The sequence below is a fragment of the Homo sapiens genome, chromosome 12 (genome assembly GCF_000001405.40).
Source record: "Homo sapiens chromosome 12, GRCh38.p14 Primary Assembly".
NCBI classification, from domain to species: Eukaryota; Metazoa; Chordata; class Mammalia; order Primates; family Hominidae; genus Homo; species Homo sapiens.
The window spans coordinates 111,400,083-111,412,583 of NC_000012.12; the positions used below are offsets into that span (position 1 = coordinate 111,400,083).

Here is a 12,501-nt window from a genome sequence, read left to right on the forward strand (position 1 = left end):
AGGAGCACCTGTTATGTGCCAAGAACTGTGCTCACAAGAGTGAGCAAGACACACAAATGCCTGGCCGAGTGGAGCTGACCTGCTCCTGGGGGTGGGGGAAAGAGACTGCCAATAAACAGATGAATCAATGATTCTGGTATCAGTCAGGGGGCCACAAGGGTGAGGAAGAAAAAACATGCAGAGGCAAGTCAGGCGCGGTGGCTCCTGTAATCCTAGCACTTTGGGAGGCCAAAGTGGGAGCATTGCTTGAGCCCAGGAGTTTGAGACCAGCCTGGACAACATAGAGAGACCCTGTTTCTACAAAAAATAGAAACAATTAGCCAGGCATGGTGGGGTGCACCTGTAGTCCCAGCTCCTTGAGAGGCTGAGGCAGCAGGATCGCTTGAGCCCAGGAGTTCAAGGTTGCAGTGAGCCATGATTGTACAACTGCACTCCAGCCTGGGTGATGGAGTGAGACCCTGCCTCTAAGAAAAAGAAAGAAAAAAAGCAGGAGCAGAAGAGAGATGGAGATGGTCAGCAATGGGGGCAGGGCTGGTTTAGGTTTGGTGGGCAGTCAGACATCTCCTGGGAGTGAAGAAAGCAAGGGTAGACAGCTGGGCGCGGTGGCTCACGACTATAATCCCAGCACTTTGGGAGGCCAAGGCGGGAAGATTGCCTGAGGTCAGCTATTCAAGGCCAGCCTGGCCAACATGGTGAAACCCCATCTCTACTAAAACTACAAAAAATTAGCTGGGCATGGTGGCTTTCACTTGTAATTCCAGCTTCTCAGGAGGCTGAGGCAGAAGAATCACTTGAACCCAGGAGGTGGCAGAGGCTGCAGTGAGCCAGGATTGAGCCATTGCACTCCAGCCTGGGCAACAGAGTGAGACTCCGTCTCAAACAAAACAAAACAAAAACATCTGGTGGAAGAGCATTCTGGGCACAGGGAACAGCCAGTGCTAAGGCCTTGAAGTGGGAGCATGAAGGTGAGTTTGAGGAACAGCCAGGAGGAGCCCAGTGTGCTGCAGTGTCCTTTGATAATGCTCAGCACTCTGTGCATTCACTGAAGGCCACTAGGGACAAAGTGTCCTACACAATGTCATTTCCCTTCACCCAACTACTATCATGCCCATTTGACAAGCCAGAGATACTGAGGCTCAGAAAGTGGGAGCCTGTTGCTGGTGGCAAGAGGGGACCTTTGGAGGTTGCACAGCAGTGCCGTGATGGAAACTCGGGCATGGGAAACACCAGCAGTAGCCATTGCCCAGCTGGGGGCCAGGCCAGGCCAGGTCCCCGGGCCTCCTCCTCGCCTGTGGCCCAGGCCTGCAGAAGCACATTTTACAAATGCAGACAGCAAGGCCTCCACTCTGGCTGGGTGACCCTGGGCAAGATCTTTGCTCTCAAACCTCAGTGTCTGCATCTGTAAAAGGGGTGTGAAGCTCTGTTGTTTACAGGACTGGTCTTTGTGGCCACTCCTCTTCACAACCCTCGAGGGACACGGGACTCTCACACCCAATCATAGATTATAATCACATTCTTTTTTTTTTTGAGACGAAGTCTCACTCTTGTCACCAGGCTGGAGTGCAATGGTGCAATCTCGGCTCACTGCAACCTCCGCCTCCCAGGTTCAAGCAATTATCCCTGCGTCAGCCTCCCAAGTAGCTGGGATTACAGGCACCCACCAGCACGCCCAGTTAATTTTTGTATTTTTAGTAGAGACAGGGTTTCACCATGTTGACAAGGCTGGTCTCAAACTCCCGACCTCAGGTGATCCATCTGCTGCAGCCTCCCAAAGTGCTGGGATTACCGGCATGAGCCACCGAGCCTGCACTATATTCAACATTCTTTATCAGTCGTTGCTATGTGGAGGTACCTCCCCCACTCCTAAGCCCTCAATGTGAGTTTTCTCATCAAATTCCCCCTCAACCCAATGGGGTCAGTCCTGTCACTGTCCCCATTTTCCAGATGAGGAAACTGAGGCCCAGAGAATCTATGTGACTGCACAGCTAGGAGATACAGAACAGAGAACTCTTTTTTTTTTTTTTGGAGACGGAGTCTCGCTCTGTTGTTGCCAGGCTGGAGCACAGTCGCGTGATCTCAGCTCACTGCAACCTCCCCTTCCTGGGTTTAAGCGATTCTCCTGCCTCAGCCTCCCGAGTAGCTGGGACTACTGGCACCCGCCACCACACCCGGCTAATTTTTGTATTTTTAGTAGAGATGGGGTTTCACCATATTGGCCTGGCTGGTCTTGAACTCCTGACTTTGTGATCCACCGCCTCAGTCTCCCAAAGTGCTGGGATTACAGGCCTAAGCCACCGCGCCTGGCCCACTTTTTGAATTTTTATGAGTATATAGTAGGTGTATATATTTATGGAGTATGTGAGGTATTTTGATACAGGCATGCAATGTGTAATTATCACATCAGGGTAAATGAGGTATCCATCACCTCAAGCACTTATCATGTATTTGTGTTTGTACTAGTTAACTTTTGTTGTTATTTAAATTATTATTAATACGAATTGCTAATATGAATATTAATAGCATTGATCATTGTTAATTTATTGCTGTTGACTCGTGTTGTAATCGTTATCTTTTTAATTTTTTTTTTTTTTTTTTGAGACGGATTTTCACTCTTGTTGCCCAGGCTGGAGTGCAATGGTACGATCTCGGCTCACCGCAACCTCCACCTCCCGGGTTCAAACAATTCTCCTGCCTCAGCCTCCTGAGTAGCTGGGATTACAGGCATGCGGCACCACACCTGGCTAATTTTGTATTTTTAGTAGAGACGGGGTTTCTCCATGTTGGTCAGGCTGGTCTCGAACTCCCGACCTTGGGTGATCCGCCTGCCTCGGCCTCCCAAAGTGCTGGGATTACAGGCATGAGCCACCGCGCGTGGCCTGTAATTGTTATTAATCCTGTGAGTCTCCGGCTTTCTGGAACTTGGCCAGCAGGAGGTGTTGGTGTTTTTCACAGCAAGAAGGAAGGGCGGTTGGACCTGCTCCCCTAAGACGGCCTGGCTTGTTTCCGGGAGCTACGGATCAGTCATGGGAATTTGAATAACCCTTTCTCTCCTTAGGTCCCAGTGACCTGCCGAGTGGGAAGAGCCGTGGCTGGCCGGCCTCCCAGTGGCGACGACGACCTCGCTGTGTTCGTGGCAGCGGCACTCTCAAATCTGGGCACGGTGATGGGAAGGTTATTTGTTGGAATCCCTTTGCCTTTCCAAGGGAAAATAAACACAAAAAGTGAGAAGTCTTGGGGTCTCAGCGAGCGCCAAAACAAAAAACTGGACTCTGGCGGGGATGTGGGCAAGAAGCGACTAAGCGAGGAAGGAAACCAGTTTGGGCCTCCGAGAAATCTGGCAGGCGAGAAGGTTTGAACCGTGATTAAAAAGGGGAAGAACCACAAGTCCCAATTTAAGTCAGCAGAGCTGCTGTCTGGGCAGTGAGAGGGAAAGTGCTTGTGGCTGGCAGATTTCAGCAGCCATTTGGCATTGGCTGGGTACCGGGCTGCTCTGTGGGTGCTGCCTGGCAGCTGCATGGCTACAGACAAGTAACTGTTCTCTCTTGGCCGCAGTGTCCCCAGGTATAAGAAAGTGATCAAATAATATGGGATGATCCATTCAGACTTTTTTTTTTTTTTTTTTTAGAGACAGAGCCTACCTCTGTCTCCCAGGCTCGAGTGCAGTGATGCAATCTTGGCTCACTGCAGTGTCCACCTCCCAGGTTCAAGCGATTCTTCTGCCTCTGCCTCCCCAGTAGCTGGGACTACAGGTGCGTGCAACCATGCCTGGCTAATTTTTGTATTTTTAGTAGAGACAGGGTTTCACCCTGTTGACCAGGCTGGTCTCAAACTCCTGACCTCAGGTGATCCGCTGGCCTCAGCCTCCCAAAGTGCTGAGATTGCAGGTGTGAGCCACTACACCCGGCCTCGTTTAGACTTCATTGACATTCCCCCACCCCACCCCTCTTCCCACATCCTCAGATGCCGTGTGAACAGCTTGAATCCCACACTCCACAGGTCCTTCTCCTCACAACCCTCCATGGCACCCTACTGCCTTCAAAATAATTCCCAAAGTCCCCACCAAGACCTTCAAGACACCATGTGATGGGCCCACCTTTGAAACATCATCTCTTACCAGTATAGGTGTCACCACTGCCTTTATGACTTTATTCCAAAGCACCACATGTATTCCCACCTCAGCACCTTTGCACATGCTGTTCCTTTGGCCTGGAATGCTCTTCCCTCAGACGTTATAGCACCTGGATCCTTCTTGTCATGGAGGGTTCTAAGCTCACATGTTAGTTCCGCAGAGGTGTCCTTCCTGAGCCCTGGATCTAAGACATCCCCTTCCAGCTCTCCATCCCGTAACTGTTTTGTCATTGTCATAGCTGATCCCACTTGCTTATTCGTGCCTTATGTCCCCCCACTAGAATATCAGCTCCACGCAGGCAGGGATATCTGTGTTGTTCACTGCTGTGTTCCCAGCGCCTAGAACAGTGCCTGGAAATGTGCGGAAAGCAGATTTTTGTGGCCTTTTTCTTCAAGGTCATTGGACACCAGGAATCCTGTAGCAGACCGCTCCCTTCCCCCATCTACTCGGAGTCTGGAAATCCCCACCTTCTGGGGAACCCCTTCCTGTAGTTCTAAGGTCAGGACTGGGGCCGATTTGTTTAACACAGAGAGCTTCCTGGAGCCAAGCCTCGAGCTAACTGCTTTAATGCATTAACTCACTTAATTCTCACTGCCAGGAGAGTGGGTACACATTATTTCCATTTCATAGGCAAGGAAGTGGAGAGGTACGGAGAAGTCAAGTCATTTGCCCGGGTAGGAAGAGGGGGAGGCAGTGGAATGGAGACACTTGCTGCCTGGGAAGACTCGAGGTGGCCCCTCCAAGCTGGGGGCGTGGGCGACTTGTTTCCTGTTGGGGGAGGGGGAGAAGAGTACATTCCTCCCTCCCCGCCCTCCCACATGTTGGGGGAGAGGCTGGCTGAGAGCATGTCCCACTCCGGACTAGGGGGAACCCCACTGTCCGTCTCAGCTCCCCATGAGGCCGTGGAGAAAATGTAAGTAGCCCGGGGGCGGGCAGGGGGGTGGGCGCAGAGGCCACGGAAGCCAGCGGTCGGAGAGGGCTTCCTGGAGAAAGATGCACCCCTCCTAGAATTGGGGGACAGGACGGGCGGCCGGAGCGAGGCTGGGCTATACGGGCACCGGCTGTAGCAAAGGCAAAGCTGAGGGCTGGGGCCAGAACCCAAATCGGGGGCCTGGGGCCGTGGCGGGTCGGGTCAGCATGATCGCAGATAGTCAGGGTCGGGCAGGGCTGGGCTCCCTCCCTGGGGCGATGATGAAAGCCGTGGTCGCTATTGCACCGCCCAGCCCTGCGGGCACTGATAAGGCCCTGCAGGAGGGAGTCAGCAAGGGCGCGCCCCCTGGAGGCCAGGCCCCTCGACCCTGCCCGCCCTAGGCCCCGCCCCTTCATCTGGCCCCGCCTCCAGGCGCTGAGGCACCTGGTGACCTGCCGGCGTTGAGTGGGTGGGGCTAAAGTCGCCCCGCCCCTCCGATCCTCACTTCTATCTTCAGACTGTGGGACGCGAAATCGGGTGGGCACGTGGTGGGCGTGGCTTCGCAAGGCCTCGCCTTTTTCCGGACCCGCGCCAGGAGAGCCCTCCGACCCTGGCAGCCGCGGACTAGCGGGATTGGTAGGCGGGGCCAGTCCGGGCTCCGCCCTCATGGCCCGCCCCTCCAGCCGAATCTCCGACTCGCGCGCGGCCTGAGGCGTGGCTCCTGGTGGCCCCGCCCCTGCCCCGCCCCTGTCGCGGCCGGCCTCCCCCGCCGGGCTCCGCTCGCACGGCCGGTTCCTCTTTACATAACGGCGCGGGGCGGCATGGGCCCGGGCCACCGCCTCCGCCCGGCTGCCCGCCCGGACTGTCGCGGCCCGCGGTGGCGACGGCGGCCGCTGCAAAGTTTCCCCGGCGGCGGCGGCCCGGGGGCGCATCCTCCCGCAACTGTCAAGCGCTGGCGGCGGAAATGATGAGGCGCTGGCCATTTTCCGAGCCCGGGTTTCCTGCCTGAGCCCCGCTCGAGCGAGCCGCGAGCGAGGAGCCGGCGGGCGGGAGAGGACGCGCCCAGGGCGGGGGCCCGCCCGCCCCCTCGGGATTTCGAGGGCCCGGGGGCGCGCGACGCCATGGGCCGGCCGGGCCCAGAGCTCCTGTCTCTCAGGTGAGCCCGCGTTTGCCCGCGCTCCCCTCCTCCGGGGCCGGGAGGGCTTTTGTGGGGAAAGAGGAGGCCCCGTGTCCAGTTCTGCCCGGGCTCTGCGCGTCACCCCCAGCCCAAAATACTGCCCTGCAGCCAACTCGGATGGAGGCGTTCCGGGGTGACGGCTCCCAGCGCCTACGACCCCCCACTCAGCCACTACCCCCACCCACACACGTGTTAGGGAGAGCGTTGGGGTAACTGAGGCCGTGGGATGGGGGAGAGGGCATCGCTGACGCCCCCAGCCCACCCTACGGTAGCCTCGCCGGTTGGGGGCGGCCCTCCCCTCAACTTGTGCCTGGGGAGGAGCGGTCAGGGGTCACCCATTGCTACCCTGAAAGTGAAAGTAGTCAAACTGAGGCTGTGAGCACAGATGAGCCCTTGGGTGTGGGGGCAGCGGGGGAGGATGCGCCGGCCCCTCCCCACTCCCCATTCCGGGCCATGTGGCTAAGAGGGTAGCGCCCTGATTCAGGAAGCCCCTCTCCCCAGTTCCTGCACTGCCGAGGTCGACCGGGCCAGGCCCCCGCATGCTGCTGAATTGGGCGGTTCACCAGGGCTAGGCGTCCCAGAGACAGGTTTCTGGTATTGATCCTCTCACACCTCTTGCCTGGGGTTCCCTGGGAATCCCCCGACCAAAAAACGTCTGGAGTGGGTGTTGGTCTTCTAGATCCGCACGGTAGGGATGGTATTTCAGAGGTCTCTGATGCCTGGTGCAGAAATCCCCTTCCCTCCCTTCCCTCCCTCCGGCCAGGGGAGCTTTGTTTTGAGGGAGGGGGACTGCATTTGAGGAACTGGAGAGGAGGGTCTGCCTGCCTGTCCCGCTTCTTTTTTTCTTTAGTTTCCTCATTCTCCTGTTTCTCTTCCCCATTCCCAGCCACAATGATGTAGGTGAGGAGGTCACTGCCTGCAGCTGGGGGCCTCCAGGGAGGGGCACGGCCAGGCTGGGCTGAGTGGGAGGAAGTGAAATCTGGTGGGGGGTTCAGAGCAGAGGCCCCGGCAAGGCAATGTCGGCAAGGCCAGCTTTGGTGGCAGGAGGGACCGAGATCTGACCCGCAGCCCCTCGCCGGGGAGATGACAGTTCCCTAACACCGGCTAGCAGCCAGGCCTCAGGGCCCCTGCCAGGGCAGTGGGCCTGTGGGTCTCCAGGGATGCAGGCGCAGGTTGTGTCTGGGTTTCCCATCACTGACCTGGCTGCCTGAGTGGAAACAGCTCTGGAGGCTCCTCGGGACCTGCCCTCGTGGAGGGAGAGCCGTCAGAGGCCACCTGGGCAGGCTGGGCTCGGAGGATGAGAGCCAGGGCCTACTGGGGGAAGTTGGAAGGGTTTTTAGTGCACTTTTCCTGAGCCTTTTCCCACTACCCCCTCTGGGAGGGAAAATCCTTCTGAGCCAAAGGGTGAGCATTCCTAGAACTTTTGTGAGTCCCTGTGGGCCACAGAGCGGCCAGCTGGGAAGGGGCTGGCTCAGAGCATCAGCAGCTGGGGGCTCAGGGTCTGCAGGGGCTCAGCAGGAAGTGGAGGAGGATAGTGAGGAGGGTCCTGGAGACTGTGCTTTGCTACTCCTATTGCCTTCGTTCAGCTGAAGGCGTGGGCAAGTGACTCTGCCCTCAGTTTCCCTCTGTGTAAAATGGGGGAGTAACAGGTTTGCAGTGGAGATTTAATGAGCCAGTGTGTAATGAGCACCTGCTGCCTGGCAAAGAGAGGTTCAGTTGCAGGTGGTGGTGGTGGTAGTGGTGATTTTATCATTGCCTTCATTAGTGTTACTGTTATTGGCTATGAGGTGTTCCTTCAGTAGTCTCCCTTGAGCATCTCTTGCATACATAGCACTGGAATTTCCTGGGTCTTTGGGAGCAGAATTTTGAAGATCTGGGCACTTCCTTAGCTATAAGGCCTTGCTTAACTGCCCCACCTCAGTTTCCTCATCTGTGAAATGGGTGTGCTAATAGTACCTACTTCCTAGAGTCATGGGAACCATGAATGAGTGAATTCACAGTGTCCAGAGTGGCTTGGTCAGGAGGAAGAGAAGAAGTAGCCTTGGGGCCGGAATGATCTTTTTTGTTGTGGGTGTTAGCTCTGCTGGCTTTCTTTCCTCATCCCCCCACCCCCACCCCCATGCCTCTCAAACCTGGGCCTGATCCTCCTTCTCCGATAAATAGAACTTTTGAGTACAAATCAGATCCCACAGGACTGCTGGGCCCTTGGATTTCTGGCTCCCGCTGTGCCACCCCCAGACATTCTCCATATCCCAGGTGGAGCAGAGCTGGAGGCACTTGGAGGGACCTCCTCGCTGCCAGTCTCAGTGCCACCTGTCTGTGGTGAGGGGAGACCGGGTGCCCTCCCCAGCCAAGGTGGGGAGGGTCAGTGAAGGGGGTCTCAGGGACATAGTAGGGAGCTGTCCCACAGTCTGGGCCAATACAGCTCCTTTTGCTGGAAACACCTTTGGGACCCAGTTTACATGACCCCACACCCTTCTGAGGGCTGGTGTTCATGAGGGTCTCCCATTGCTGGGGATCCTTGGGTTGATCACTTAAGCTCTCTGAGGCAATTGAGACAACATCTGTGAAAGGCTTTAACAGCTGTGCACTTGCTGTGACATGGCACATAAGGCACTGAGCGCTGAGCCTGGCACTCAATTAACAATAGTAGATATTATTGCTATTAATAAAACAAGAGGCTTTTCCTGCTAAATTCCCACTTCTCCCTGGTAGCAGTATGGACTTTGGGGCCAAATCTGGGCTCTGCCAGCTTCCAGGTGTGAGGTCCTAGGCAGGTTACCTGGCTTCTCTGATCTGGACCTCGCCTGCCCGATGGAAGCCAAGAGTTCCAGCCTCCCCAGGGTTGGGTGTGTGAAGTACAGTGTCAGGACTGGAACTGTGTTGGCTGTACTTGCTCTGGCTGTGTGATCTTGGGCTGGTCCCTTAGCCTCTCTGAGCCACAGGTCTTTTTGTCTATGAAATAGGGGGGTTGCCAACTCCCTGTTAGGGTGGTTTTGAGAAAAGGAGGCATGCACAGTGCCCGGCATGCAATTGGCACTCAATAAGTGCAAGCCATTGCTGTTCATGCCCAATAGGGGCTGGCACTTAATTGCCAGGTTTCCTGGGAAAACGGTCCCCAAGGGCCCGCGGGCGTTCAGCATCTTTGACGAGGCAGGGCAGGAAGCCGCTGCCGTCTGGCAGACCGGAGACGCCTGCCTCGGCGAGTCCAGAGGTGCAGTGCTAGCTGCTCATTCCCTGCAAGGCCCCATTCCTCACTACCCACCCTTCCCAAGGAAACTGAGGCGGGCAGGCTGCCCAGGGGAAGTGACTCAGCCGGGGTCACTTGCTGAGTCAGGCCTTATTGGACCCAGGAGTCCTGCACCCCACCTCCCCAGCTTCCCGGGGCTTGAGATCCCTTGGAGACTGAGCAGGTCCTGAGGCCTGGCAGCAGGACCAGGCCACCACTGGACATCTGCTCAATGGGGCCCTGCTGCCGGGGTGACAAGCATCCCTCTACCAGGGCTCCAGGGTTCTGCTGGCCACCACTAGCCATCCTTCCTCCCAGCAGGGGCAGAGGACACTTCCCCAGGGGAACAGGTCCTCCTGGTGCCCCCCCACTCCCCGCCCCAGCCGGAAACCCGGCAGCTGAGCAGTTAGATAGAAGATTTTTCCTCCCACGCCACCCTGTCAGGGGTCGGCCAGCAGGGCCGGGCCACAGGCTTCCTTGTGAGCCAGGCCTGGAGCCCCTGGGGGCCCACCCGGATGTGGCTACCCCCCGGCTGGCCAGTGGGGAGCCGGCTGCTGCCCAGGACATGTGTCCCCAGGGAGGCCTGGGAGGAAGGAAGTCTATGCCCTCCTCACAGGGGCTGACTCACAGGCGCCCAATGGGGGGCCCCAGCTGGGAGACTGGGAATGTGATCAATCAGGGAGGTGGACACACAAGGGGACCTCTGACATGGGATCTGCCCTTTCAGAGCTCACACACTGGTGTCATCTCAAGGAGGAGAGGCCCAGAGAGGGCAGTGTATGCTGCGAGAGGCGAGGTAATTGAGGGCTTACGCATGTCCCTCCTGATGTCCCCAAGTAGCACGTGGGGAGGAGGTTCACCCACAGGCTGCCCTCCTAGGGTCTCCCCTGTCTGCCCTCAACCCAGAGGCAGTGAAAGGAAGAAGCCACGGCCTTGGGATGGGGGGCGTGCGGGATTCTGATGGTGCTGCCTCTCCGCAGGGAGATGGTTCTTGGCTTTCCCTACCTCCTGAAACCTAGCTGGGGCGGTGGCTGGGATGTCAGGCTGGCGGTGTGGGCAGAGGAAGCCAGAGGACATTTCCTGTTCTGGCAGACTGTGCTGGCCTGATAAATGTCCCCGGGGCACAAGGTGACCCCAGCAAGGGTGCATCAGTGTCCAGCCAGCTGCCCCGTGGCCTGGGGTAGAACCCACCTCTCTGCCTCCCCAGGGACCCTGCCTTCGCCCCCTGCTTCCCGTGGGCATCTCTGCGTCTGGCAACTTGAATGCTGTGAAAGGGCAGCAGGCCGCCTGCCAGGCAGTGTGTGTCAGAATCCCACAACTCTCTGGGCCTCCTTAGGCCACAGGGTCTGGACTCTATGAACAGTTGGTGCTAGGCATGGGGAAGATAGAAATGTTCCTTGTGGCCTAGATTCAACCAGGAGGCCTCCCTGGAGGAAGTGTCCCCTCTGAAGGTGTGAGACTTCCTGCCTATATCTGTGAGCTGGGGCAGGGGAGAGTGGAGGCTCTGGACTGGCCCAATTTAACTTCATTTACCACACTTTAAGAAATCTTCCCCAGGCTGGGAGCAGTGGTTCACACTTGTAATCCCAGCACTTTGGAAGGTCAAGGTGGGAGGATCACTTGAGCCCAGGAGTTTGAAACCAGCCTGGGCAGCATAGTGAGACCCTGTCTCTACCAAAAAAAAAAAAAAAAAACTGGGTATGGTGGCACATGGCTGTGGTCCCAGATACTTGGAAGGACTGCTTAAACCCACAAGGTCATGGTTGCAGTGAGCTGTGATCATGCCACTACACTCCAGCCTGGGTGACAGTCAGACCTGTCTCAAAGAAAGAAAAAAAAAAAAAAATCCTCCCCAAGCCTCAGCAGGGGAATTCCTACCATGGATAAAGGCTTTCTCTGCATGTGGGCCTGATCATTAAAAGGAAAATTTCAGCCTCCCGAATTATACTATTATCCAGGGTGATTAGATAGAGGAGAGGCTGAGAAGCCCTGATCTCAGCGGGGCATGGATTAAGGGGACCCCACAGCTCAGCCAGGTTCCCAGCGATTCAAGGTCCTGCGATTTCTCACCGACTTGGTGGCTCCAGGGTGCCTGGGGCTGGCTGTGCTTCTTGGGGAGCACCAGGTACCACTGCTGCTTCGAGGCCCTCAATAGCCCTTTGGTGGACCCGGTTGTGTTCTGAGCTTGGGGTCCTGAGATGCAGACACCCCCCAGCCCCAGCTGGTGGGCGTGCAGCTAGCTGCCTTCATGTATTTGCTGCAGGGAGGGAATTGGGGGTGGGGGACAAGGATGCACCAGGCTGAGTTATTCCTTCTGCACATCATCCTGCCCCTCACCTGGCTGCAGGATTTGGGGAAACCCTGGAGACCCCCATAGCTGGGAGGTTCCTGCCCCAGAAGGAAGCCTGAGCAGGTGAGGGGGGTCTCCTGGGTGCTAGGGCCCCTCTGTGGGGAAGGTGGTTTATTTCTCTGGCTGACCAGGCTCCCCCGAAGCTCTGTGCTGGGATAGAAGTGTCCCAAAGACACCCTGCCCCCAACTCATACCCTACAGTCGAAGCCTGAGGGCCCCAGGTCCCCCTGGCGTGATCATCATTGCTTCCTGTCCACAGCTTGTCAGCCCCTGATCCCAGGGTTGTCACCATCTGATCAATTGCTTTTTCTCTGAGCCTGGCACATAGTAAGCACTCAATAAACGCCACTGCCTGGGCCAGGGTCAGGGAGGGATCCACCTTCCTGTGGCCTGGCTGCCCTCCTGGCCAAAAAACCTCCCTGGTACAGTCCCTTCCATAGCTTGGGCTACAGCTGACTGCTCTGGGCTGGCAACTTCCTGCCCGGAGCAGCCTGAGCAGCCGCCTCTCCCCTGAGAAGATCTTTTGTTCCAGCTCCCCATGACGCCCCGAGCCCAGCCCATGAGGCAGGCCCCCCTGTGGCTTCCCATGGCGGGCGAGCCTGACTCCGAGGCTGGAGCTCTTTTCTAACAGTGATAGTAAGAAAATAGCAGCAGCCACTTATGAGCCCCATGCCAAGCACACTGCAGACATCAGTTCTTTTTTTCT

The 12,501-nt window shown here is 56.9% G+C and overlaps 1 protein-coding gene and 1 long non-coding RNA gene across 12 annotated transcripts in view, besides 4 other annotated features; both read left to right on the forward strand.

Annotated features, from left to right (window-relative positions):
- Nucleotides 1–3,228, forward strand: part of LINC02356 (long intergenic non-protein coding RNA 2356) — a 34,050-nt gene extending 30,822 nt beyond the window's left edge. For all 4 annotated transcript variants that reach the window (NR_187522.1, NR_187521.1, NR_187520.1 and 1 more), the window contains one exon: nt 3,056–3,228. This is a non-coding gene — a long non-coding RNA (long intergenic non-protein coding RNA 2356). The remainder of the gene's footprint in view (nt 1–3,055) is intronic.
- Nucleotides 3,048–3,297: an enhancer, noted in NCBI's record as "active region_7031". NCBI's record gives its function as "activates an Ori minimal core promoter by ATAC-STARR-seq in GM12878 lymphoblastoid cells {active_cell/tissue: GM12878}" and the evidence as "EXISTENCE:reporter gene assay evidence [ECO:0000049][PMID:35858748]".
- SH2B3 (SH2B adaptor protein 3) overlaps nt 4,648–12,501 on the forward strand; it is a 46,894-nt gene continuing 39,040 nt past the window's right edge. For 5 of the 8 annotated variants that reach the window (XM_011537719.3, XM_005253818.5, XM_005253819.5 and 2 more), the window contains exon 1: nt 5,841–6,195. The gene's annotated coding sequence lies outside the window, so the exon portion shown is untranslated. Of the gene's footprint in view, nt 5,043–5,840; nt 6,196–12,501 lie in introns of those variants that run through there. The other 3 variants (XM_011537720.4, XM_047428025.1, XM_047428026.1) reach the window with 1 other exon arrangement.
- Nucleotides 5,320–5,479: a silencer, noted in NCBI's record as "silent region_4866". NCBI's record gives its function as "represses an Ori minimal core promoter by ATAC-STARR-seq in GM12878 lymphoblastoid cells {active_cell/tissue: GM12878}" and the evidence as "EXISTENCE:reporter gene assay evidence [ECO:0000049][PMID:35858748]".
- Nucleotides 5,600–6,179: a silencer, noted in NCBI's record as "silent region_4867". NCBI's record gives its function as "represses an Ori minimal core promoter by ATAC-STARR-seq in GM12878 lymphoblastoid cells {active_cell/tissue: GM12878}" and the evidence as "EXISTENCE:reporter gene assay evidence [ECO:0000049][PMID:35858748]".
- Nucleotides 9,875–10,024: a silencer, noted in NCBI's record as "silent region_4868". NCBI's record gives its function as "represses an Ori minimal core promoter by ATAC-STARR-seq in GM12878 lymphoblastoid cells {active_cell/tissue: GM12878}" and the evidence as "EXISTENCE:reporter gene assay evidence [ECO:0000049][PMID:35858748]".